Source organism: Homo sapiens, chromosome 17, assembly GCF_000001405.40.
Source record: "Homo sapiens chromosome 17, GRCh38.p14 Primary Assembly".
Lineage (NCBI taxonomy): Eukaryota > Metazoa > Chordata > Mammalia > Primates > Hominidae > Homo > Homo sapiens.
In genome coordinates this window covers 61297001-61324402 of record NC_000017.11, presented here as the reverse complement: position 1 = coordinate 61324402, position 27402 = coordinate 61297001, and the positions used below count along the sequence as shown (strand labels likewise).

General features: G+C 45.7%; 1 protein-coding gene across 8 annotated transcripts in view, besides 1 other annotated feature; it reads right to left on the bottom strand.

Moving 5' to 3' along the window:
• Positions 1-27402, bottom strand: part of BCAS3 (BCAS3 microtubule associated cell migration factor) — a 714981-nt gene that overhangs the window by 68429 nt on the left and 619150 nt on the right. The gene's annotated exons all lie outside the window — the stretch shown is intronic.
• Positions 8926-9427: an enhancer, noted in NCBI's record as "H3K4me1 hESC enhancer chr17:59392337-59392838 (GRCh37/hg19 assembly coordinates)". NCBI's record gives its function as "activates a minimal SCP1, AML or CMV promoter by ChIP-STARR-seq in naive H9 embryonic stem cells {active_cell/tissue: H9 hESC(naive)}" and the evidence as "EXISTENCE:reporter gene assay evidence [ECO:0000049][PMID:30033119]".

Sequence of the window (27402 nt, the reverse complement as noted above, 5' to 3'; positions counted from 1 at the left end):
CCCTGCCCTGACAGTGATCAGCCTTGCAGGGGTCAAATGGGTGAATCTCTGCCTTAGTCTAATCCTAGTTCTAGTATCCTCTGTGTGATCACCTCACATATTAGCTCTAGGCTTCAGTTTCATCAATGTGTATGATAAAGGAGGTAGGGTCTCTCCCGCCTCTAATTCACTCACTGATTGAAACATTTCTCGAGTGCTTAGCATATGTCTGGCACTGGGGATACAGAGAATCAGAAGGATGGGGTCCCTGCCTCTGGAGGAGTTTGCAGCCTGATGGGAAGAGTCCCAGTATGTCCCATGTGCTAAGTGATCTAGCAGAGGGTTACAAGAGCACACTGAGAACACAGAGGAAGGCGGCTCCAGCCAAAGAAGTGTGAGGATTCCAGCTGGAAATCCCCAAACATCTCACAGACACTAACAGTTCTTACCTCGTCTCCCGCCCAACCTTTGACAATGAGCTATCATTTTCCTCCAGGAAGAATGTGCAAACAAGAAGGGAAGAAGCGTCTGGGAAAGACGAGAAACACGGAGCCAAGGAACCCACACAGGGGCCAGGGGGCCATGGATAAGCCAGGGCTGCCTGCTTCTGCTGGATCACTTACCAGCAGCTGAGCACCGCAGCAGGCCACTGACCTCCTGGGGACTAGGCACCACGGTGATGAATGGTCCCTGAATCCTTGGAGGGAAGTGGCCTATTAAGGAAACAGAGGCTCAACTTTTGACAGAGATGCCATATGGAGGAAGGAACTGGAGACCCTTGGTCACCAATTTCTCCCCAAATTCACCAACCCCCTCCACACTCCCGAGTTTATAATTTTGAGAACAGCTAAGATATTTCTCAAAGCATTTTTACATTATCAACAACTTTTCTCTTCCATATCAATCCTCCCAGGTAGGAGAAATTAGCTTCAGTTCACAGAGTAGAAAACCAAATCCTAAGTCCGTTCAGGGCCACTCCTGTGATTATACAGCTTACCAGGGAGGGTCAAAGCTGAGACTAGAACCCGGGGCTGGAACTCCCTTATGCTAACTGCTCACTGCACTACTTATTTCCATGTTGTAGCTGAGTGCTCCACATAAATTCATATTCAACCAGTGAGATTTCAGAGGAGAAGAATAATCAGAACGGGTTATAAATGAGTCCTTCCCCCTGGGGAAGTTTGGGCTCTAGACAAAAGTCTTCTCATTTTTAAAAGCCTCCCCTTTGTGAAATGAACAATCTGGCCCGTGGTCATCAGCTGCCTAAAAGATGGCTGGGTTACAGCGAATTCCCCGTGTGATGCTAAATCCATGTGACCATTCTCCTTTTTCTTTCATTTTTTTTTTAAACCAACTGCTTAGCAGCTCAATCAAATTAACTGTGGCACTTTCAAAAGGCATCAAAATAGCCACAACACGCCTTTAAAAAAAAAGGAAGGCGCCTTGTTTTCAGAAAAAGATATAAAGTCCTCACCCCAGGGTGCTCAAACAGATTCTTATTCCATGACGATTTGCCCCTGTCTCCCAGAGGACCCCCCACCACCTCTCTCTCTCTCTCTCTCTCTCTGTCTCTCTCTCTCTCTCTCTCTCTCTGTCTCTCTCTCTCTCTCTCTCTCTCTCTCTCTCTCTGTCTCTCTCTCTCAAGAGAGGCTTAAAAATATCAACACCAATGAGACTATACTTTTGGCTTACTTCTGCCAAATTTTATTTTCAGCTTTGGGTAACTGGGAGTTCTTTATTGTCAAGGACAAAAAAACAAGAGGCTGGAAAAACCTCATTAAAAAACCAACTAACACAACTCACTTGTTTGAAATGAAGAGAAGGCAGGAGAAAGGGAGGAAAAAGGAAAGAGGGGTGGGAGGGAGAGTGAGGCCATGTTCTTGGCTGTGCCTCAGAGGCGAAGAAATGTCACAGCCCAATAGTGGCTGAGTTACAATCTCACTTCTTAGAGGAGGGCGGAAGGCTTGGAGGGATGGGTGTAACCCTGGCAGGCAATGCTGGTCCTCACCAAGGGTGAGGGGAGAAAACAATTCTTTCTGATCTTAAAAACTGCTCAGTTTGACAGGTCCCCTAAAACAGTCTCCCAGAGCCTAGCCCCTTCCTTCAGAGCAGGTCCCCTGCATTTGAGCAAAGCACCTTTACACATGAGGTCACTCACGCCTCCCAATACTAATCTGAGGAAATAAGTGGGGCCGGGTGTGGTGGCTCACACCTGTAATCTCAGCACTTTGGGAGGCTGAGGCAGGCAGATCACCTGAGGTTGGGAGTTCGAGACCAGCCTGACCAACATGGAGAAACCCTGTCTCTACTAAAAATACAAAAAGTAGCCAGGCGTGGTGGTGCATGCCTGTAATCCCAGCTACTCGGGAGGCTGAGGCAGGAGAATTGCTTGAACCTGGGAGGCGGAAGTTGCGGTGAGCTGAGATTGTGCCACTGCACTCCAGCCTGGGCAACAAGAGGGAAACTCCGTCTCAAAAAAAACAAACAAACAAACAAACAAAAAACGGGATAGGTGTTAGTATCCACAATTTACTTAAAAAGGAACTAAGCTGAAGCTCAGAGATCAATAACTTGCCCAAGTTCAAACAGACTACAAGGATTAAAATCCAGCCCTCCAGGGTTCTCCCCACTATCCCCTCATTTCCCAGCAGAAGCATGGCCAGATTGGAGAGCACTAGGTCAGCGTTGTTCTCAGAGACTAGAACGATTTGCTGGCTCGCCTTCCTAGGGCTTGCACTATTGTGAAGAATCCCTGATGATAAAGACCAAATGCCAACCCAACTGTCAGTCAACAAAGCAAGGTTCCCTGAGGGTGAAGGGATAAGGGCACAAGCAGCCTGGCGGCCTGCAGGGGCATCCAGATGGCCCAGGGAGGAAAGTGCTTCCTGACCACAGCCTCTTACCGCCCGACATCAAATGGCCTCTTCTTGAGGTCATCAGCCACTCACCATTGCTGCTTTTGCTCATGCATTTCCTCATGGCCCAGGACTACAATCAAGCTCTTTGAAACAGGTCATGAGCTTCCCCAAGAAGCCACAGTATGAATGGTGAAGGGAGATGGGAGGTGGGGTAGAAGGAATGCGAGTCTCTCAGTCAAATATAATCAGGATCTTTCTTCTTTTGCTAACGCTCTGTCCTTACTTGGGTTAAAAAGGTGCTACCACTTTATTTCATGCCATATCTATTCAGAGGATGGGATGTTACAGCAAAATGAAGAATCTGCCTTAAACAAATGAAGAGGTAAGGGAAGCTGGAGATATATTTTTAGTTATGTTTGTAAATCTCATTAGAAAAAAAAAGAAGGCCAAAAGACCCTAGATTAAGGATTCAGAAGACATGAGTTCTAGTCTCAGCTTTATTATTTCTTAGCTGGATGTTATGGAAAATCTTAAATTCTCTGAGTCTTTTTAAAAAGAATCCATTAAATGAACTAATAGTAATAATCCTTGCCTATATCACAGCATGCTTTAATGCTCATCTGAGATAATGTATATGAAAGCCCTTTGTAAAACATTACACACGTGCTATATTATTACTGTGACTGAAGAGCTGATTACATGTGTTTCGGGCAGACTGAAGAAACCCTCTACACTACTTAAGAATATATATGAAACATACATCCAAAGCAAGTATTAGAAAAGGTTTAATTATACCCTCTGGGTAAAGTAGGTGAATGTTTTGTGACTCAAGCAAAAGAGAAATAGGCTGAGAAAATTTGTAGTTGAATGTATTCTTTTTTTTTTTTTTTGAGACAGAGTCTCGCTCTGTCGCCCAGGCTGGAGTGCAGTGGCGCAATCTCGGCTCACTGCAAGCTCCGCCTCCCGGGTTCATGCCGTTCTCCTGCCTCAGCCTCCCAAGCAGGTACAGGCGCCCGCCACCACACCTGGCTAATTTTTTTGTATTTTTAGTAGAGATGGGGTTTCACCGTGTTAGCTAGGATGGTCTCGATCTCCTGACCTCGTAATCTGTCCGCCTCTACCTTCCAAAGTGCTGGGATTACAGGCGTGAGCCACGGCGCCTGGCCTTCAGTTGAATATATTCTTTCACCATATATTCCTTAGCTAAGAGTCCAAGAGATGAGTGAGGAACCCAGGTCTTTTGGTTCATAGTGCCACTGTCTAGGAATGGACCATCTGATGCAGAAGGAAAAACTGGGCTTTGGAGTAAAAGAGACTTGAGTTCAAATTCCACTGGAAAAGTTCTCATAATAAATGCATAGAAAAAAGACTATTCTGGCCAGGTGCCGTGGCTCACACCTGTAATCCCAGCACTTTGGGAGGCCGAGGCGGGAGGATCACCTGAGGGCAGGACTTCGAGACCAGCCTGGCAAACATAGCAAAACCCTGTCTCTACTAAAAATAGAAAAATTAGCTGGGTGTGGCGGCACGAGCCTGTAATCCCAGCTGCTCGGGAGGCTGAGGTAGGAGAATGCTTGAACCCAGGAGGCAGAGGTTGCAGTGAGCCGAGACTGTGCCACTACACTCCAGCCTGGGTGACAGAGCAAGACTCTATCTCAAAAAAAAAAAATAAAAAATAAAAAAAAGAAGAAGAAGAAAGAAAGAAAAAGAAAAAAGACTATTCTATGAAAATTGTGAGTTTATGCACAAAGGAAATTTAAAGCCTACCCTCAAAGACACATACTACTTCTTATTCTAATGTCATGATAGCTACTGAGTCTGACTAAAGGCTAAAAGAGATACAGTTCTGCACTAAGGAGTAAATAAATTACTTTAGTTGATGTCAAAATGACAAGCCATCAAAAAATTGTGGTTTATTCAGGAAAAAAAAAATCTCTTAAACAGACCTAGATGGCCTGGCAAACTTTTGAATTTAATCTCGTGATATATTGAAAAAAAAAAAGCCTCTATAGCATATCAAGCAAATGTATAAAAATATGATCAATACATTCGACATATTATTTAATTATAATCTTCAGTGACAGAGACAATATGAAATTCTAGAGTCAACATTCTGACAGTGGAATAAATAGATATAATTATTCCTCATACTAATCCCAGCAGAATTGTAAATTATCAAGCTAGATTGTACATCCGAGTTCTAAGGTTTCCTTAATATAATGGAGTTTAATGTAGGGGGTGTCATATCACCAAGATTATGCCCTTTTATTAGAATAGAAAGCTCTCTGAGGATTTCAAGTTCAAAGGGTCAGAATGATCCTGAGCTCTCTACATATTGTTAGTATTCTCTGACCCTGGCTACCTACTGGGATCAGCATGTGGAGAAGCACTGTAGCGAGGGGTGTAGGCCCGGGGTAGAGGGAGAAAAAGGAGTTGCGAGTAACTGTGCATTCTCCCAATCTTGGAATCACAGATTTGGAAGTGGAAGGGCTTTAGAAATCCTCTAGCCCTTACCCAGAATTGTACAGAGCAGAAAAATGAGGATCAGAAAAGAGAATGAGCTTGCTCAAGATCACATGGCTTCCTGGCAGAACCAGGTCAAACCCCAAGTTTCACGATGCACAGTACAAAGCTCCTTCTATGTCACTCCGGGAGTGAAAGCAATTGCTGAGGTGGTCAGCTAGCACATGGCCAATATAGCTGCGGCTATTATCATACCAACGGGAAGGAAAGCACTCTCCAGCAAGGGCCAAGAGAAATTACAGTTAACATTTAACATGATGGGACCAACTTCAAAGACACGCCAGCTGGACTCTTAATAATGGGAGATGAAACTGCTAACCCTAGCAGAAAGTTGCAGGTGGACAACTCTGGCTGGAAATAGCACATGTCCTCCGAGCAGGAGTGCTCTTCAGAAACCCCAACACAAGGCTGCTGCCTCACTGCAGGGTGGGGAGAAACACGGGAAATAACCCGTCATCTGTTGGCAGTTCCACCTGTGATTAAGCGGTGTGTCCCTTGTTAATGCCATTAAGACACTTGGAAATGCCCACATTTGTCAATTAGGGGGAGGGGGAAGAGGGGCTGCTGATGTCACTGGGAGAGGGAGATGGTGCCGTCTTCAAGAAAGACTACATTTGGTTCTAACAGTAGGCAGGGAAGACAGGAGAGGGCTGCTGCTCCATCGCCACCAAGGAGTGCAGACAGGACACTGCAGATTCTGGAGCCTGAGAAGAAAGTTTCCAACTGAGAAAAGTCAGTTAATTTTGGAACTTCTATTCCTGCCTAGATGGACGTCACCTGTAGAACCCTCAGTAACTTTGGGCCACAGCTTATATCTTAAATGAAGAGCTGATTCCACCTTGCAGAGAAATAGTCCTAGCCATCCTTTTTTGGTGTGTTCTAGTCGCCTCCCAGGGCCCTGACTCCTGGTGTGATGGTGGCGGGGAGGAGCCGAGGAGCGGCATGTAGCTCTAGCAGGAGAGGCGGCCTCTGGCCCTGCTTCCTGCACAGCCTGGACACCTGCAGCACAAACCCTGTTCTTGCTGTGCTTTCACTGTTGGTCCTACGCGTTACGCCTGCCAGAACAGCTTGCGTATGGCATTCGTTCAGGCTCTGCCTGGACCCCCACCCACAGACCTCACCAGGGACCTCTGTTCAAGTCTGCCCTCAGGTGGCTAAAAGGGAGGAGATTCCACATCAGGCCTCCCATGGCAGGGCCCTTGGCTGGCTCTGACACCGTGTCTCTGCTCTAATTACTAGGCTTCTGTCCTATCCCTGAGGTCAAGTTCCCCAATCTGGGTATTGGGCCCTTGCCTTGATGGGCTTTAGTTCTTAGGAACAACTGTGCCCTACTTACCTTGCCAACTACTACTCTCCCACCCCACCCAAATCGGTCTTGTCTCGCTGAATTCTCAAGGTGCTATTGAGGCCTCACTGCCAGTTGCCCCTGATGGTGCTACTACCCCACTGACCCAGGTCTCTACGCCGAGCCCTCTCCTAGAGTGACCTCACCTCACCGTCAATGAAGCCCTCCATGTTGCCATGAGCTGCATTTTCCTGGTCCAGGCCCCAAACACCAGGAACTGTCTGGTTCTCCCGGCTTGACTCAGCCCAGCCCTACAAAGCAGGTGTGTGGGAAAGGCTTGTTTCCCAGTAAAGGCAATACACTGCCAGTAGATGAAATAATTAAAGCATATGACCTGTTATTTAAGAAGCATGCCTTTACATTGTTTTATTCTATCATACTGTATATTGTGTGTCCTGGGTGGGCTCTGGAGGAGTCCCCTCTCTCTGGCCTTTCTACTTTGTCTCAAGCTAGTGAGGACAGCAAGAAGACGTGGAGCAGGAGTCTCTTAAAAGCTTGGCAATGAAATGCTCAAATTGATCAAATACCTAGGGCATAAGAGCTAAATATAATATGATGGATATAATATATAAGTATACTAAATTTGGATAGAAGACACTACTCTTTAGAACCCTAAACTTTTTTAAGAAAACAAAGCAGTGAACGGAATTTTTGTATATGCTACACCTATCTCAGAACTGTTGAAGCCTCCCGAACTCTAATAGTACCATCAGTGTCTGAGGTGAGAGGGAATTCTGGATCATATAGTAGCCATTTTACAGAAGGGCTGGCAATGGCTGGAGTTAGCCTCTTGCACAAATCGATCAAATACACGAGGAATTCCTTAGTGGGGAAACCGCTAAACATAAATTGCAACTGTTAATTTAATAAACCTACATGGCAGGAATTATTGTACATGACCCCGAGGAATCTAGCACAGCACATACAGTTGAGCAGATGTTTGACTAAAAAAGGAAGGAGCCACATCATTCCGAGGGCATGGATTTCTTTTCCAAAGAATTCATACCTCTTCTTTTCCTTTTATTTTATCCTCCTTCTCCTTCCCTCTCTCCCTCCCTCTAACCTTTCCTTTATTTTATCAGATACCAGCTGCAGGCCCCTCTGAGTCTGCCTAGCAGCGAAGAGGAAAGCTGTGCAGAGGGGTGCTACTGCAGGGGAGCTGTGGAAGGGACGCGGCGGCATGTGGAGGCAAATAGGAGGGCAGAGGTGCTGGGTGAGGGGCATGTCCGGGGACATCTCAGGGACCAGTACCAACAAAGGCATGGGGCATGAACATCATCTCTTCTGCTGCTCTAAGAATGACATCTTAGGCTTTCCTTAAAAAAGACGTCTCCCACATTCAGCACACATTTACTAAGTACCTGCTATATTACTATTAATATTATTATTATTGAGATGGAGTCTCACTCTATCACCCAGGCTGGAGTGCAGTGGCGTGATCCCGGCTCACTGCAGCCTCCACCTCCTGGACTCAGGTGATTCTCCTGCCACAGCCTCCTGAGTAGCTGGGATCACAGGCATGCACCACCATGCCTGGCTAATTTTGTAATTTTTAGTAGAGATGGGGGTTTCGCCATGTTGGCCAGGCTGGTTTCGAACTCCTGACCTCAGGTGATCCACCTGCCTCGACTTCCCAAAATGCTGGGATCAAAGGTGTGAGCCACCACGCCTGGCCAGCACCTGCTATAGATGGTCACTATCCTAGACACTGGAAAACACACATGAAAAGGGAAAATCCTGGTCCTAAAGAGGTTCAGTGAGATAGAGAAGTAGGTAGGTGGACAATAGAGGTGACTTTAAGATGTCAGCTGTGGGTCCCTCTGAGCCTGGCTAGGAGTAAAGAGGAAAGCTGTGCAGAGGTGTGCTACTGCAGGGGAGCCGTGGAGGGGACGCAGCGGCATGTGGAGGCAGATGGGAGGGCAGAGGTGCTGGGTGAGGGGCATGTCAGGGGACATCTCAGGGACCAGTACCAGCAAAGGCGTGGGGCATGAAACGGGGGGTCAGTCAGCCTGGTCACATTCCAGGACCCACATGGGGAAGCATCGATGGGTGAGGCTGAGGCTGTAGAGTCCTTGGGGACAGGAAGAGGCACCCCAGCATCATTGGGGTTCACTGGCCCATACCTGGGCTTTGCCATTAACCAGCGACGCTGTGCAACCTCTTCCATGGGCTTCTTTGCTCTAGGAAGCCTGAGGCGAAAGCAATGGCACCGCTGCCAGCTAGCGTCCGCTCCGAGACTGCTCTGCATGCCCTCCCGTGTCTCAGAACAGGAGTGCGTTGGCTGGGCGCGGTGGCTCACACCTGTAATCCCAGCACTTTGGGAGGCTGAGGCGGCCGGATCACCTGAGGTCAGGAGTTTGAGACCATCCATCCAGGCCAACATGGTGAAACCCTGTCTCTACTAAAAATACAAAAATTAGCCGGGTGTGGTGGTGGGCGCCTATAATCCCAGCTACTTGGGAGGCTGAGACACGAGAATTGCTTTAACCTGGAGGCGGAGGCTGCAGTGAGCCGAGATCACGCCACTGCACTCCAGCCTAGGTGACAGAGCGAGAATCTGTCTCGCGAAAAAAAGAAAAAGAAAAGGGAGTGTAGGCTGAGCAGTGTGGCGTGTGGAGGAGACTGCCCCTGGAATGCTGGGGAGAGGATTCAAGGCATTTTCCAGGCACACTGTTCCTCGGATGGGTGAAGAGGAGTTCCAACATCAGACAAGCGCGGTGACTGCTAAGAGCATTCAAATTTGGAATTCCCTCTGGTGGCTGAAATCAACATTTCTCACAAAGGAAACCTGGACAAGTCCGATCTGTAAAGAGCATTATCCACTCCCTGTGTATAGTTTATTGGTCCAGAATATCAGGTTAGCAAGCTGAAGTAATTAAACATCAAGCCAGCTGTTTTAGGCAATTAGGTAACATTTTTCATTTAGGAGACCACACAACAGAGGGGAGAGAATAGGGAGATAAGACCTGTGTTTTGATTTACTAAAGTCTCTGCTGCAGATAAAGCCCAGCTTTTTGGAACCCTTCAGGCAATTACTATTTCAGGCTTGGCAAGCACTTGAGTCTGAAAGTAACTATTGGGCTTGTCTTGGCAAGACTCAAAGTCACTGTAGCTGTAAGGTTGTCCCAGGCAGCGGTGGAGGGGAAAGTCAGTGGCAAGAGGAAGCCAGGAACTGTAGAGTCATTAGGAGGGCTGTTGCAGGCTTAGAGCTCAAAGGAGGCCAAATTCAGTTCTCCCACAACATGTTCTTAGAGAGGGAATGCGGTCAGATGGTGAAGGCCCAGGCCTGCTGGGCGGGATTCTGCGGTTCCCTTTCTGGCATCTGTACTTGTCAGCTCTGTGGGCACTGTTTACACTCCCTGCCTCAGTATCTTTTCCTGTAAAAGAGGAGAAGGACCGAGGGCTTTTAGGTTTGTGGGAGCAAAGGGAAGAGGTGCAAATGGCAGGCTGCTAATGGTGCCAGCTTAGTACAAAGGGAGAAGAGAATGCGGACATTACAAGATCAAAACGTGAATCTCCTCCCTGCCACGAACTGACAAGGTGACTCTGCTCAAGTCACTTCCCCAGTGTGTGCCTCGGTTTCTAAAGCATCAAACCAGGGAGCTGGACTAGGCTAGATGATCCCTAAGGCCCTTCCAGTTCTGACATTCTACTATCCTAAGATGCCAAGCAAGATAAATTGTTGGGCAGAAGGCAAGTAAGATTTTCTTTGAATGGAAAAGAGGAATGGCCTGTGTGCTGCCAGCCGGCTTCCCCCACGAGACTCTGGAGCCAGCACTAAGTATGGGGCCGGGCGAGTGGGGCTGGTGGAGGAGACAGCAGGCCCACGTGTGGTCACTGGCTCCGCGGCATTGAAACATCTCTTGCTTGAGCTCTTCCACTTAATTGGGAGCTTGCCTTTCCAGTTGTATATTTTTATCCTGTGCCCTGGAACCCAAACCATTAGCTTTGTAGCCAAAGGCTGCTTCTTGTTTAATCGTTAACTGCCTCAGCCTAGAGGAGCTGTACCCTGGCCGGAAAGTCCTCCTCCAGATGCTGTACCTCTTCAGCGAGCAGGACCCGAGGGAGGACGCCGAGCTGGACCCGAGTCCAAGCTCTGTCCTCCAGCCTTGGAAATAAATCCCCTACATTGTCTGGCCCACACAAATCCCCGTTCAGCCAGGCCTCTCCTGTGGGGTTATTCTGGTAACAAAATGCTTGAGATCAGCAATTCTTTTCTACTCTTACCCGCTCTCAGAGAGGAGCCAACTGGGCTATTCCTTAGGCTCCACTTTCTGTGTCTGAAATGTGGTTGAAAACTAATATTCCAGATGTTTCCTCATATTTTAAGTAGAACCGCAGATTAAGCTTCCTATAGGAAGGTAGTAGGGCATGGTGGAGGGAAGACAGTCTTTGGAGTAGAATCATGGTGGTGTAATCGTGGCCACACCCTTTACCAGTTATATGGCATTGAGAAAGTATTGGTTCTTTGAACCTTAGTTTCCTCTTAGAGCAAAATAACAGCATTCGCTTTCTCTACCTGGCAGTAATTGCCATGAATCCAAAGACTGTTTTGGTCATCACTATGTAGTCTAAGCCTAACACGGAGTAGATTTCTCAATCAATGCTACTGAGTCAGTGATTAAAAACCTCACGGGATTTTGAGGCGATCAACGAGGTGAAAGATGGGAAGTGTCTAACTTTGTACCTGGCACTTGGGAAGTGCTTATTCACAGGCTGGCAGTGCTTGGAGACACATTTCTTCTAACTGAGTGAGGTGGATGCTCAAAGGGGAATGCAAGTCTTCGGTTATGCCCACTTAAGTTGTGAAGAGGCCATCTTGTGGGAGAAAGGGCAGGCACTTAGAAAGCTCTTTGGTTGTAACCAGTCCTGACCCCGAGGCTACTGCTGAAGCTCACGCTCTGACAATCAGATACAGAGCCACTGATGTCCCCGATGGTGGTAGGAGGCCCTGCAGAAATACCGATGGCTTCCTGGCCTTTAGGGTCTTCCAAGGAGATTCATAAAACTAGACCAGGGCATGGAAACCAGCATCCCGAGGGCCCCTGGTACACTAGACTATTGTTCCAGGACAGAAGCAACTCAGATCAAAATGGTGAGTGGGATTTTCCTTGCATTGGCCACAATACATATGTTTGTTCAAGAAAAAAAAGTTGGAGCAAGAAGACATGAACGTCTGCTGTTAAAGAAAAGCCTGTTTGTGCCAGCCACAGTGGCAAGATTGTTCGGAGAGTCCATCCTGAAAGTCCAATTACCCCAACAGCATGGCCAAGGTCAGTGTCAATTTGCGGTGTGCCAACTGCTCTAGCCACTTCAGTACCAGATGTGAATCACACAGGGGACCTGTCTTTCGGGAGAACTGGCATCTACTGGACTTGCTAGCCCCTCTGAGCTGACACCCTCCCCCACTCCTTGCTCCCTTCCCCTTCCTTGGAGAGACCTGTCTAACAGACCCTCCCACAGAGAGCAAATAAGCACAACATGCAGAATCCCAGACTTGCTTATGGAGAGTTGGATCCACTGTCACCTAGGGGGTGAATGAGGGAGAACACTGGGACTCGGCAAGGGCCAGTACCTCTTACTGACGGCCTAGGGCCCACATTTTAGGAGCAAGAGATCAAACGATTCTCCCCTCCTGTTTTGTTTCTAATAGGACACCCAGAAGCCACAACAATCTGCAGAAGTACAGCCTGATGAGGTTGAGATGTGGCATGACCTACTTACCTCACATTTGACTTAAAAACGTATCTTTTCAACACAGGGTGCCAAGATCCTTTCTGTCATATATATATATGCTTTTTTTTGAGATGGAGTCTCGCTCTGTCACCCAGGCTGGAGTGCAGTAGCGTGATCTCAACCCACTGCAACCTCCGCCTCCCAGGTTCAAGAGATTCTCCTGCCTCAGCCTCCTGAGTAGCTGGGACTACAGGCGCCCGCCACCATGCCCAGCTAATTTTTTGTATTTTTAGTAGAGACAGGGTTTCACTGTGTTGGCCAGGATGGTCTCGATCTCCTGACCTCGTTATCTGCCCGCCTCGGCCTCCCAAAGTGCTGGGATTACAGGCGTGAGCCACCGCGCCTGGCCTCTGCCCTATATTTTAAGGGGATTTAAGAGCAACAATTTACCCCCCAAGTTCTTCAAGCAGCCTAGAAATTAGTACATACTAATTTCTCCAAACACTGAATAACATGTCCTAATATGGATTTAAAAAACAAATATCCAAATGTTTCACAGACCAAACAGCCTGACTGGAGATCTCTAATTTGGACCGTGCTGTGAAGGATGTAACTCCATCAACCACAGCAAGATCCAATCTTGGAGAGGTGCCCTCACATAGAATCCCCAATGTCTGATGAGGCTGGAAAGTTTTTCAAAAGAAAGTTGGTTTTAAATTAATGTCTTAAGGTACATCTACATGTGCTGATATGGAAAGTAAGCTGGACTCTCTGTATAGTATGATCTCAAATTTTTAAAAGGAAAAATATATACATATCACATTTAGGCACATTCACATAAGATATGTGAAAATAGTAATAATTTTAAAGTAACATCTACATAGCATTTACTGCCAAGCAGTAATTTTAGGAGCAGGCAGTATTTTAAGTGTTCCACACATATTAACTCACTGAATTCTCACAGGAACCCGAGGATGTAGGTATACTATTTTACACATGAAAAAACCGAGGCACAGAGAGGTAAGTAACTTGCTCAAAGTGACACAACTATTAAGAGACAGGGCTGGGATTTAAAATGGAAGTGAACTGCTCCAGCTCCAAATTCTTATCTCCTGAGCTCAACAGCCACTCATGTCATAGAAGATCCTCATCGGCATTCTACCTGCCTCCCAGAGCCTCCCCTACACACACAGGCCAAAACAACTGGTCATCCTTTTTCTATCACGGTTTTTATCACTATGATGATCTGTTTACACATCAGTCTCTAGCACTAGATGGTGAGCTCTTGGAGGGCGGGGCACAGAGGCCTGCCCCCCTTCATGTCTCTCATACCTCTAATTTTTGGTTCATAGCTCGGCTTAATACTTGGGCTCAGGGGGACAGATTAGTTTCTGGGCGATGATTCGCATGCAGGCTAGAGACAGATTTGAGAGTTCATTTTTTCTTTCTTTCTTTTTTTTTTTTTTTTGAGACAGAGTCTCACTCTGTCGCCCAGGCTAGAGTGCAATGGCACGATCTCGGCTCACTGCAACCTCCGCCTCTTGGGTTCAAGGGATTCTCCTGCCTCAGCCTCCCAGGTAACTGGGATTACAGGCATGCACTACCACACCTGGCTAATTTTTGTATTTTTAGTAGAGACGGGGTTTCTCCATGTTGGCCAGGCTGGTCTCAAACTCCTGACCTCAGGTGATCCACGTGCTGTGGCCTCCCAGAGTGCTGGGATTACAGGCGTGAGCCACTGTACCTGGCCAGAGAGTTCTTTAGATGGTCTCCTTCCAGATTATTCAAAGGATCCTTGGGGTTAGTGGGCCAGAGATGAAAGCTCATACGCATAAAAGCATAGCAGGAGGAAAGGACCGGAAAGATGGAAGCAGGGAGAAAGAAGGGATCGCCTTTGATTCATTCACCCAGCAAACCCATAGCAACTCCCACTGATTCATTAGCCTCTAAATTCCTACATTTATTATTACTACCCATATGGAAGGCAATGACTAATTCTTGCCACATGGCTGGGATATGGCTTCCTATTAAGGAAACACAACCTGGTAGCCTAAATGCTGTAGTTTTTCAAAGGAAAACTGCTTTAAGCATAAGCGTTTCCCTTCATTTTCCCCCTTCATCTTTTAACTACATTTGCTAGTTCATGGCTTCCTTAAACAAGCTGTCATTTGACTTCATGGGCTTCTTCTCACAAGGGTGCAGACAGATTCATGGGGGGCTCTCGGGCTCCCTCTTGTCACCCTGTACTGCCTCCTCAACCCATAAACAGGCCACTACTTTTCCACAGCAGCTGTTCCGCAATCCCAAAGACCCTGGGTCATCTCTCCAGTTCCAGGCTTTGCTCACAGTGCCTTCTGGATGTGTGTGTTTTCCTTGGGACGGAGAACACGCTTCAGGAAAGGAGGCAATACTCGAGATAGAAACTGTTCTTTCTCAGGGAAAACAAACAAATCAAAATATTCTTCCCAGCTATGGTGAAGCTGGGAAGTAGAGGGCAAGTGAGGCAGGGAAGGGTCAGGGCCGCATTGCCGGGACCCCTCTGATGTCCACTTTAGGTCCACAGTTATGCCCCTGTCGGTGGCTTCCTGCTTCCTCTTCTACAGAATGGCAACATGGGGAGTGACACGGTAGTGTTCAGTACTCAGGCATGCTCATCTGCCCATACCAGTTCCGTCAAAAAATGGACACCGCCTCTCCACCAGCCCTTATTACCCTAGAATGAATGGGGAGGACGAAAGGGGACTCTGGGTCTCTTTTCCATCTTGACAATTTTGAGGTGTTTGCAAATCACGTAGAGAGTTATCTAATTCCCTTATACGTATCCTCACATGAGCTAACGTTCTTTTTTCCCTGTCACTAAACCCAAGGCTGAAAAAAGTATTACTCCTTGACGGGCATGGAGGTAGGGAACTAACCCTTGTTTCAGTCAAGAATCACGGACTCCTGAAAGAAAGAGGATTCCATGCTGAAGACACTCAGAGGAGGGGACAGATAGGTCCTCAAAGCCTCTGCTGGGGGAGGCCACATGGCTGGAGAGAGGAGACACATATAATATTCTCCCAACCTACTTATACTTTGGTACATAAACTTTGTAAGTATAATGTTGGCAGATTCCAGTGCATAAAAAAGTAGCTGAAAAAACTCAAACCATAAATAATGCCAAGTAATAAAGAAGGTGAATGTTTCTGTTATGAGATTCTTTCATTGTATAAATCTGTTTAATAAGCTGGCTAGGAATCACTGATAGAAAACAGACTTAGTATGGTGTTACAGACCAATCCGTTCTAAAAGGCCAGTATGGGAACTCATGCCAAGTTATATTTTTCTGTTCTTAACCAATGCAACTTAATATGTAATTGTTGTCTCCCTCCTGCCTTCCCTTAACTACCCCCACCCCCCTGCCTCTGCAGACTCATCGTTTCAAGGCACTTTACCATATTTATAGATCACGCTGCCTTTTGTCTTACTCACCGAGAAGAGCTGGGGTCTGTGTATGACTCCTGCTTTTTTAGAGTGCTATTTCTCAACATTTGTAAGCATGTGTTTAGAGAAATTCCTCCAAATATCCTCCTTTGACCCAAGACCCATGGTAACCACTTTAGCTGCAGAAATTCACTGAACACTAGAGGGGGCGGTGAGGGGGATGGGGTGGGAGTGGGATGGGGGTTGGGGGGTGGAATGGAGGTCGCTGGGGTCACATTCATCTTCCAACACTATGGCTGCTAATGCTTGTTGATGTTTTTCTGGGGTTGGTTACTATCATCATGATGGGCTGTAAAATGAAATGCTGTAAACTAGCTGAAGGCTTGGGTAGAAATATTTGCCAGACGCCATAAACAACAACACCAGGAGTCCCCACACACTTGGCCAGTTGTGCCCATGCTGTTGTTTACAGTGCTGGGATGCGTGAACTCCAACGCCTGGCTGGTCTAGTTTCTGACCCGAATTCCCAGGTCCCTTTTTAGGAGGTCCACATATAGCTCTCTCTGATAAAGATTTGCTAAATACATAAAACGAAAGGTTATTGGATGAAATAGATTACTTCTCTGCTCAATTTAATGAGTGCTTGGAAAATCTTGAGTCTCCACATTGTCAAGGTGTATACTGTTTGGGGTTGCTCACGTAACATTATTTGTGTTAGATCTGTAACCATATATCAGATGTTTTGCTGTGCATTTGACACAGGTCATATGGAAGTGTCTAACAGAAGGTATTACAAAAAAATGAATTAAAAGTATGAATTAAATACACTTAACTTGATTATTTCTTGAACTGGCCATTAAGACCCTACTCAGGAATGTAACCCTTTCTAGAACACTTGGGAAAAAGTAATTTTATTTAGAGCACTTGGACATAAAATTAGTTAGAGTCCTCTCTACAGTTTCTCAGATTTATATAGCTCCTTTTATTTATGAACGCTAATTTATTTTGGTAAAATCTCATTGAGAAGATTGGGATTATTCCTATTTTACACAGGTAGACACCAAACACAGAAGACACAGTTTAAAGGGGAGTGCTTACATGTTGGTTAAAAGCTAGTGAAAGTTAATTCAACATTTATTATCGTTGTAACTGTAGTAAATGCAATGGGAAAAAGAAAACATGGGTTAGATTCTTCTCTGAGATTATGCTCAAGGAACTTGAGGAAACCTCTAGTAAACTCTAGTAAAAGTAGACAGGAAAAATTACAGGTAGTTTTTTTCGTTCCCCAAAAAGTAAATTAAAACTGGCAGAAAAATCTCCTTCTGGGGAACAGTCCCAGAGGAACCCACAGCTGAGGTGTAACTGTGGGGTATTCTGGGGCCACAGGGCTGGAAACCAATGTTCAGCAAGTCCCAACTTGGGCCGGCACTAGGCTAGGCTCTTCACTTCAATCATCCTTTTCTCATTCTACGGTTTGTGGGGAAGCAGTAAAAGAAAACTTGAAGGACTCAGTGGGAATGACTCCCTGATCAATACTGAAAGACCTTTGAGAGAATCACAGAAGCTGGGGGCAAAGGCCCAGAGCCCTGATGCCAAATTGGCCAAGAGACCCAGAGCTGTTCCTGGAAAGATCTGAAGCCAGGAAAATCACAAAGAATTAGAAATAACCAGTGTACTTAAGCCTGGGGAAAAATCCAAAGTTCTATTAAGGAATGATTAATAATAGTGATCCAAAGGTAATAGTACCTCTAGGCTTAGTTTCAAAGAAATATTTTAAAGAAAAGAGCTTTGTTTTTTTTTCTTTTGAGACAGAGTCTCACTCTGTCACCCATGCTGGAGTGCAGTGGTGCAATCACAGCTCACACAGCTCACACAGCTCACCGCAGCCTTGAGCTCCTGGGCTCAAGCGATCCTCCTGCCTCAGCCTCCCGAGTAGGATCTACTCTAAGCATGTACCACCATGCCCAGCTAATTTATTACTTTGTGTAGAGACTGGGTTTCTTCACATTGCCGAGACTTGTCTTGAACTCTTGCATTAATGCGATCCTCCCACCTCAGCCTCCCAAAGTGCTGGGATTACAGGCATAAAAGCTTGGTGTGCTCAGCCAGGCTTCTTGAATTATATTTAAAAATTAATATTTGGTGCTATTGAGTACTTTCCACTTCTTAAGGGGAATTGTTTTTTCATTTAAAAACAAAACAAAGTGTGCTATTCTCTAACTGCTATACTTAAGCCTGCAGTCTAGGTAATAAATAGTAATAACCAAATCACCATTATAGTACCAAAGTACTTTAATTTGTAAGCGAAGTGTTGATGAAGAAATACAAATAGCTCATGGGATCTTTAAAGCTCAGATGCAGAGATTCAAAGGAATGTACCCAAGATCACACTGTTGCCAACAAATGACTCAGGTGTACACCATTCTTCACACTGCACTGCTTTTCCACATATAGAATTTGCGGCTTTATCATGTTTTTCTCAACTGTTGGAAAACTGGAAACATACTAGGGTGTTTGAGGCTTCCTAAGTCAGAAGTGTTCCAGAACTCTGGTTAAGGGCATTCAGGTAGACTTGGGGCCAAATTCAGTGAAACAAGAAGGAAGCACACAGGATTATCTCTTGTTTCTACTGCACAATGACCATCCACCAGGGGATCAAGACAGGGGAAACAACAACAAATGCAGCCATTATTATTATTATTTGAGATGGAGTCTTGCTCTGTTGCCCAGGCTGGAGTGCAGTGGCATGATCTCAGCTCACTGCATCCTCCACCTACCAGGTTCAAGTGATTCTCATGCCTCAGCCTCCTGAGTAGCTGGGATTACAGCCGCACGCTACCACACCCAGCTAATTTTTGTATTTTTAGTAGAGACGGGGTTTCACCATGTTGCCCAGGCTGCTCTCAAACTCCTGACCTCAGGTGATCCGCCCGCCTCAGCCTCCCAGAGTGCTGGGATTACAGGCATGAGCCACTGCACCCAGCCACAGCCATCATTATTGGTCACTTTCCATGAGCTAGTGGCTCTTCTGAGCAGACAACATATATGACCTCATTTAATCCTTACCACAATTCAGTGTAAACGATTATGCACATTTAACAGATGAGGACAGAGCTTAATGAACTTGCTCAAGTTCACACAGTGAAGAGGCAAACAGTGGATTTGAACCCAGGCTGACCAATCTTTCAAAGGCCATGCTCTTTCTAGTATGCCAGGCTTTTCTTCTGACTGGGCTCACTACTGCTTTGGGCTCACTGGGCAGGCTGTGAGTGGTACTCTGCTGCCTTTCCCACTCCTCACACCATACTAGTGGAAAGGAAACTGTTAACCCAACTAAGCAGCTGAATCAGAGGTTTGGCTGATTGACTATGCACCGGGGTCATCTGGCAACCCCAAGAGATGTTGCTTCATTCATTGACTAAGGCCAGTATTCTATCTTCAGAGGGATAGAGCCCTATACAAATGGTAATCCTCCTAAAAAAGGTCACATTTACTTGTTAGTTCTATCCCAATATGAATAAACACTTTAGAAAAGGACTGGGGGCCAGGCATGGTGGCTCATGCCTATAATCCCAGCACATTGGGAGGCCGAGGCGGGCGGATCACCTGAGGTCAGGAATTAAAGACCAGCCTGGCCAACATGGTGAAACTCCATCTCTACTAATAATACAAAAAAAATTAGCTGGGCGTGGTGGTGCACGCCTGTAATCCCAGCTACTCAGGAGGCTGAGGCAGAAGAATCCCTTGAACCTGGGAGGTGGAGGTTGCAATGAGCTGAGATTGTGTCATTGCACTCCAACCTGGGCGACAAGAGCGAAACTCCGCCTCAAAAAAAAAAAAAGGATTGGGAAGGAAAATAGAATTCAAGGGTATTAGGGAACTGCAAAGACATGTTGGATGTTCAATTCACTATGGAGGTGACTACCTGTGTCAGGGACATTGAGGTGTGTACAGAGCTCTATGAAAGTCCAAAGGAGATGTACCTTAACCCTTCCTCTTTCCTCCCTCCTTCCTTTCATGGGGGAAATAAGGTTAGACGAGGCTTCCCAGATGAGGTGACGTTACGTGCTGAGTCTCAATGAGTATGAATGGGAATGGAAAAAACAAGAGCAAGAAGGACACTCTAGGCACGAAATAGTATATGACTAATATGGGTAACTACAAGAAATCTGGTGGCACTGGAACATAAAACTCAAGGCAGCAAGTGGTCAGAGCTGTGGATACAGGGGCAGGCAGAAGCCTGACCAAGGAAAGGTTTTGCAGGCCTTGCTAAGAAGCTTGAGTTTCTTACTGTGGGCAAATGCAGCCTCTCAACAACTTTAGATGGGTAGTGACATGGCCAGAGCAGTGGTGTCACAGGACAGGTGAGTGGAGGCCAAAGTAAAGGTGGGAAGACCAGATAATTAAATTACAACAGTGAGGCAATGAACTTGGGGGTGGTAATAGGGATGAAAAGGATAAAGAGCAAATTTGAGAACTATTTAGAGAGAAACAATCAGCAGGAACTGGTGACTGGTGTGTGTGAAGTGAGGAAGGAGACAGTGTAAGGATGATTCCCCCATTTCTAGTTTTGTTGATAGGGTGGATGGTGGTGTTACAGACTGGGATTCAGAAAATAATGACAAATGGCACTGCTGGGAGTGGAGGATGATTGGGATGGGTTAGACTAGGAACAATATGCCTACTCTTCATCTATCTCTCCAACAAATGCTGCTGAACACCTACTAAGTGCCAGGCACAAGACTTGGTGCTGGGGTCACAGAGATGCATTTGCAGCCTCTGCTTTTCAGGACTTCACAGTCCAGAAAGAGGTCAGAAATGTAAGCAGAAAACCACAGTACAGCACGGTAAGTGCTTGCTGTAAGGGAACAAAAGGGATGGGGAAATATCAACTCTGACTCAAGCCATGCAGAGCCAGAAATAGGCAAAAGAAGAGAGGGTGCACACTGCCGTGTACCTGTGTCCTCTTCCTGGGGGCTGGTCACTCCCCACTGTACCCACTCTTCTAGAAAGAAGTCAAGGGCAGTAATGAGAAATGACAGCAGGAGGAGAAAGTGCCAAAGTCCAATGAACAACAGGTGGTAATACTGTCAGTTCAAATCACCATCCCGGAAGCTGAGTGGCGATGGAGCTGAACCTAGATCAGTACTCAAACTCTATTAAACCTACAGCACTAATTGCTCGGTGAAGCCCATGTGTTCCTTCTCACCCACTGGATGTTTCTCTGGCCGTTCAGAAGTTCCAGGCCGCTGCTGTATCCCCAAACACGGGTGCTTGTTTACATTCTTCCCCACGCTCATAGATGAGGGACTATTTTATTCTTGTTTTAGGCAGCTCAGAAGATGCCCACAGACTGGGCCTCCTGCAGCAGTGTGCGGCTCTGGCTCCCCATAAATCCTCTTCATTCTGTCTCAATGAGATGACATGCTAATATTATCTGGAAAATCAATACTATCCCCCAGCTTTGCTGTATCAGCAGAGCTGCTCAGCACACAGGACAAGGGCTGAAGTGCTTCGGGTCCATCTCAGAGGTCCTGTTGTCGGACAGGCCTTTCCCTTCCATGGCCAGTCTGAAAGGCAGACAGGGGAACTCATCACAAGTTGAGCTGCCTCAACTATCTTTTGCTTTGAATATCCTAGAGCCATGGATGGTCAGATGGCACTGGAAGGGACCTTAGAGATAGATGGTCTTCTCTCTCAAAGCCCGTATTTCGTGGAAAAGGAATTTAGAAAGTGATCTAGACCCTACATCCTCCCTATGGCCAGAACTGTTCCGTCTCACTGCCTTTCTCTACAAAGTCTGAACTACTGTAGGATTCTCTTAGATAAAAACACATCCAGAGGCCGTAGCTGATATTGTAAATGAAGGATCAGATAAAGTGGGGTTGTCTGTTCTTTCAAAGCTGAAAAAAAAATATGAATTCTAGAATTCTGTCACTCATCAATGTAACCTAAATCTTAGTTTCCTTAGCAAGAAAATGGGAGTAATAATGATATGCACCTTGTAATTATATTGTCAGTATTAAACAAGATAGCCTAGGACTTCAGATAAGGAGACTATCTAAAAATAGTGTAACAATACTCCACATCTTAATTTCCAGTTCTTAATTCATAATAAAGAGGATATTTCATTCCTCAAGAATCTAAAAATGACCATAGTAAAAAGGCAGGAAAATTTGCATTTCATTATTGGAATAGTGTGGTTAGCATGTTGAAGATTCTATTAGATGGTACCAATTTTCACATTAAGTGGACATGAGTTATTGCTGAATACTTGAAGTCGTCTCTGGAGAATAAGACATCATAGCCACACAAATGGCAAAGTCAGATTCCGTGGTACATTCTGATGTGACATTAAGAGACAAGATGAGGAAAGTCAAGTAATACACCAGAGAGAACAGGAGAACCCTGGGAGTCGGGGGAGGGGGGAGTTTTTGGCTCTTTCTCCTGGCATGGCAAGAGTGGGACAGGGAGGAGGTAATGAGCTGACTGTATGTGTAGAGAATCTCAACTTTTTCTTAGGACTAGCTGACAGAACTAGCCTTTCCTCAGCAAGCCACTGGGTCTCTGCAGAATGGGAATAAGCGTTCAAAGTGGCCGTGCTTCACCTAATTCTAGAGATGATCTGATGTCTTTTTCATTGATATGAAAATATGCAGACATTTGTGAGGGGGCGGAAAGGGTGCAGATTCTTTACACTGTAAAGAAAGTATCTATTTGTGCTGAAAGGCTCTTTTAACTGTAATCCCATTTGGTGATTACTAACCTGGGGTCCACAGGCCTCCATGAGATCTATGAATAGAATTCAGGTGGTCCATGAATTTGGACTGTGAAAAAAATCACTCCTATGTTTTTGTTAACTTCTAACTGAAATTTTGCATTTATATCAATTATAATGTAGGCAGAAAACAGTAGTTAGCAACCTGTGGCTGTAACCAAGAGAAATCAGTCTTTTGTTTTGTTTTTTTGAGACAGAGTCTCTCACTGTCATCCGGCTGCAATGGTGCAATCTCGGCTCATTGCAACCTCCACCTCCCGGGTTCAAGCGATTCTCCTGACCCAGCCTCCTCAGTAGCTGGGATTACAGGCACCTGCCACCACGCCCAGCTAATTTTTTGTATTTTTTTCCAGCAGAGATGGGGTTTCAGTATGTTGGCCCGGCTGGTCTCGAACTCCTGACCTCGTGATCCACCCGCCTCGGCCTCCCAAAGTGCTGGGATTACAGGCGTGAGTCACCGTGCCCGGCCGAAATCAGTCTTTTCATTGCACATTACTACTGTTGCAATTTACACCAGGGATTGGGAAACGTTTTCTGAAAGGGGCCAGATGGCAAATATTTTAGACTCTGAGGGCCATATGACATGAGGCCAGCTATTCAATTCTGCTGCTGTAGTGTGAAAGCAGGTATGGACAATATGTACATGAGTGAGCATGGCTATGTTCCGATAAAACTTTATTTACAAAACAGTCTGTGGGCTGCAGTTTGCTGACCCCTGGTGCACACACATTTTGACTTTGAAAGTACAGCAGTGATGAATTCTGTTTAGTTAATATGTTAAAAATAAGTACATATATTACTATATCATAAATGTGTGGGCATTTAAAATATTTTGGTAATTATGTTCCTACACACTTTATTTATTTAAAAATATTCTGAGAAAGGGTCTGCAGGCTTGGCCAGATTGCCAGTGGTCTGTGGCACTAAGATGAAGATGTCCTGTCACAAATATATGTGTTTGCCTACAAATGATTCCTGGGCAGAGGCTAGAAGAGGGAGGGAGGAGGAAAGCTGCTGGAACAAAATCAGAGTGTAGAAAACATTGTCAATTGAAGCTAATCAGATATGAAATAAAAACTTCTCTGAACTTTCTGTGGTAGGTGATGAGGGAAAAAAAGGTATTCTTTTCCCTATTTTCAGCTAATGCAGAGAGTTCCACATTTTGTACATTTCTTCTCTCATTGTTTGAGTGTTCACTGTTCCCAGCTTGCCCTCGCATGGCATTACTTACTGCCATACATTTTTCTTTTCTTTTCTTTTCTTTTTTGGCCAGGAACACTGCGTCAAGATGCCATACATTTTTTCTAAAGAGTCTGCAATGAAATCTGGTACTTAAGCACAATGGGTTTAAATGCCCTAAATTAAAACTTGCCCTACTGATCATTTCCTTCCCCAAATGTCACCTGAGTAATGCCTTCTGGGAGCTTAGGGAGCAAGTTTTCTCTTTAGAAAACTGAAGTTGAAGGGGCAGGCGAGGAGTTAAAGGGGAGGAGGGCGGGCATGGGGACCAGACACTTCTCTGTGCTTCATCAAGGTCAAAGCTCTACGAAAACATCCTTAGGGTCTCGGGACAGTGAAACCAACTGGGACTGTATGTGGCAAGTGACATCTTTCTCATAGAAGACTGGCTGGCTGTTTTGTCCTTTCAGTATAAGCTGTATTTACTTCTAATAATGCAACAGCAAAATGTAACGTGAGGAGAAAGCACCTTCTGCCTAGTACTGTACTAAACAGCTCTGGGTTACATTTACAATTTTAATAAACTGATTTGTCAAAACTGTCAGAATCAAGGGAGATCATCTGGATACCAGATGAATGAAAATATCTGTAATTATAAGTTGTCCATTTTTCTCTTTCATCTTCTATACACGTATCTGTGAGCAGCCACATATTTTCATGCACGTGCATACACATAAATTTGAAATCATTTTTTAAAACCTGTCATAATAGAATTCAGGAAAGTAGAAAATACAGTTCTCCTGGGATAACAATGGGACTCAAAGGCTAAGCTGCACTCCCTGTCCTAGGACCCGCATCCTTTTGCTGAACTATGCTGTCAGAGCCAAAACATTTCAGTTTCATTACCACCTGGATTGTTCCTAATCCTGGCTCATCACTCACTTGCTGTGTGACCACAGGTAAGCAACTAAACCTCTCTGGCTAATAGCTGTGTGTGAAGCAACCATTTTGATACTCATTAACTGCCCCACACTAATAGCACAAATATTAATGAGATTCTTTGGGCAATGAACGCCAAACCCTCTAAAGAATGCTATGAAATGGCTATGAGTTGGCATGAATTTATTTAAACGCCTTATCCCAAGTTTACTCAGAATCCCATCTTTTTTCTTTTCTTTTTTTTTTTTTTTTTTTTTTTTGAGATGGAGTCTCGCTCTGTCACCCAGGCTGGAGTGCAATGGTGCAACCTCAGCTCACTGCAAGCTCCGCCTCCCAGGTTCACGCCATTCTCCTGCCCCAGACTCCCAAGTAGCTGGGACTACAGGCGCCCACCACCACGCCAGGCTAATTTTTTGTATTTTTAGTAGAGACAGAGTTTCACCGTGTTAACCAGGATGGTCTCAATCTCCGGACCTCGTGATCCACCTGCCGCAGCCTCCCAAAGTACTGGGATTACAGGTGTGAGCCACTGTGCCCGGCCCTCAGAATCTCATCTTTTGCTATCTACATTTAAATTATAGGCCAGGCACGGTGGCTCATGCCTGTAATCCCAGCACTTTGGGAGGCTGAGGTGGGAGGATCACCTAAAGTCAGGAGTTAGAGACCAACCTGGCCACCATGGCGAAATCTCATCTCTACTAAAAATATAAAAAGTAGCCGGGTATGGTGCAGGGTGCCTCTCATCCCAGCCACTCAGGAGGCTGAGGCAGGAGAACTGCTTGAACCCAGGAGGCAGAGATTGCAGTGAGCCAAGATTGCGCCACTGCACTCCAGCCTAGGCGACAGGGCAAGACTCCATCTCAAATAATAATAATAATAATAAATAAATAAATAAATAAATAAATAAATAATGGCATGTGACTACTTTGAACTGGAAGGCAGCCCACACTTGAGGGCACTGAACTCTCTGTTGCCAGAGAAGGGTGAGAAGGATGACTGAAAAGGTGGAGGATGCAGGGTGTGGGACGTCCCCTTTGGGGGCTTGGATTCTGGCTCCCTTTTGGAAGTAGATTGGAAAGGCAGTGGGCCTTCCCGAGGATCTCTCTCATCATTATTCTCAGGGCAGAGAATGTGAGCTAGAGGATCAACTCACACGGAGAGTGATGATGCTCAAGAGAGCCAGCCTTTGCATGGTCACAAAGACCAGGGCATTTGGAAGAGTTTCCACATACTAGAGCCAAAGTCCTTTTCATTTTATTTCCTTTTTTATTTTAAGATCAATGAGAAATGCAGTCTCTAGATGAGGCTAGCTAGGGAGCTGACTGGGTGGGGAGGGGCCTGGGGGGACAGCTGATTTTTAAACCTGACATTCTAAATGACCCCTAATGAGTTAAGGGCTGTAGTGAGTGTCTCTGTGGCAGTTTTCCAGCCCTGTTACACACTAGGCATAAAAGTGTGTTGGGAACTACAATTTACTGAAGTGTTTTGCTGATGTCCAGGCCTATGTCTTTGGTGAGTGAGAAGAAGCTGCCATTCTAAGTGAGACTCGTGGCCTTTTCAAACCAGTAATGAACACAAATATAGAAGGATCATGCTGAAAGTGACTCTAGAAACCTGCTAGGATAGGTTCCTTAACTTTATGGAGAAGAAAGCTAAGGTCCAGAGAGAAACCTATGACTTGCCCAAGGCCCCACAAAAAGCTACTGATGAAGCTGCAGGGAGACCCAAGTTAGCTGCTCAGCTGCTAGTTCATTTTGCTACAACAAAATACTAATTGGTAGTCGTTTGATACTATTGGAAACAGTCTTTTTAGGGGACGACATCCCTTAGAGAAAGAAAAATACTTGGCTATAGAGAAAAGTAGAATGTGCTACCAACAGTGGACGGAATAAAAATACCGTTGAGAGCATAGCTGTTAGGTAGAAGTTATTCTCACAGTGAACACGAACACCTGTACTTTTCCTAGATTTCCGATTTCACCCTCTCCACCAGACTCAGCTTGCTTCATTTTGACTCTGCCCATCGACCACTGAGGACCCCCATCACACTGACCTCCCTTCAACAAGAACACCTGGGCTTGGCTTTCTCTGCAGTTTTGCCCCTTTGCTTATTTCCACAGGGGTCTAGGTCCCCGCTGACTGCTGCTTTAATCATTTGTTAATTTGCTTAAACATCTGGTCAAATTTTGGAAATAACAGGAGGGTTTAGGTGAACTTCTCTTGGATGCTGAGAGTTTTCACGTGCCCATCTCTGCCCTCCCCCGGCATACACACACACCACTAGATCACCAGACAGTCTAAGCCAATAAAGAAAAAGTCAAGGAGTATGACTTTGGCTTCCCTTTCTCTCGGCTGTTCTTTAGGCTCCTTAACTCAGTATGCTCCAAAGTGAACACACCTTCTCTCCTCCATCCCCAGCCTCTTCCTCTGTGACTGGTACTGCTTTCTACTCAGTTATCAAGCCAGAATTTGAGTGGCATCTTAGACTCCCACCTTTCTATTGCATTCTAAATCCCATATGCATTGACTGTCATGGAGCCCCTGAATTTCCTTTCCCATGTTGGAGCCTCCTCTCCATTCCTCCTATCCCTACCTTACGGAAGGCATTCATCACTCCTCACTTCGATAAATAATTGGTACCTGGCGGTTTCCTGGATCCAGTCTCACCCCACTTCAATCAATTTTCCACACTGTAGCCTAAGT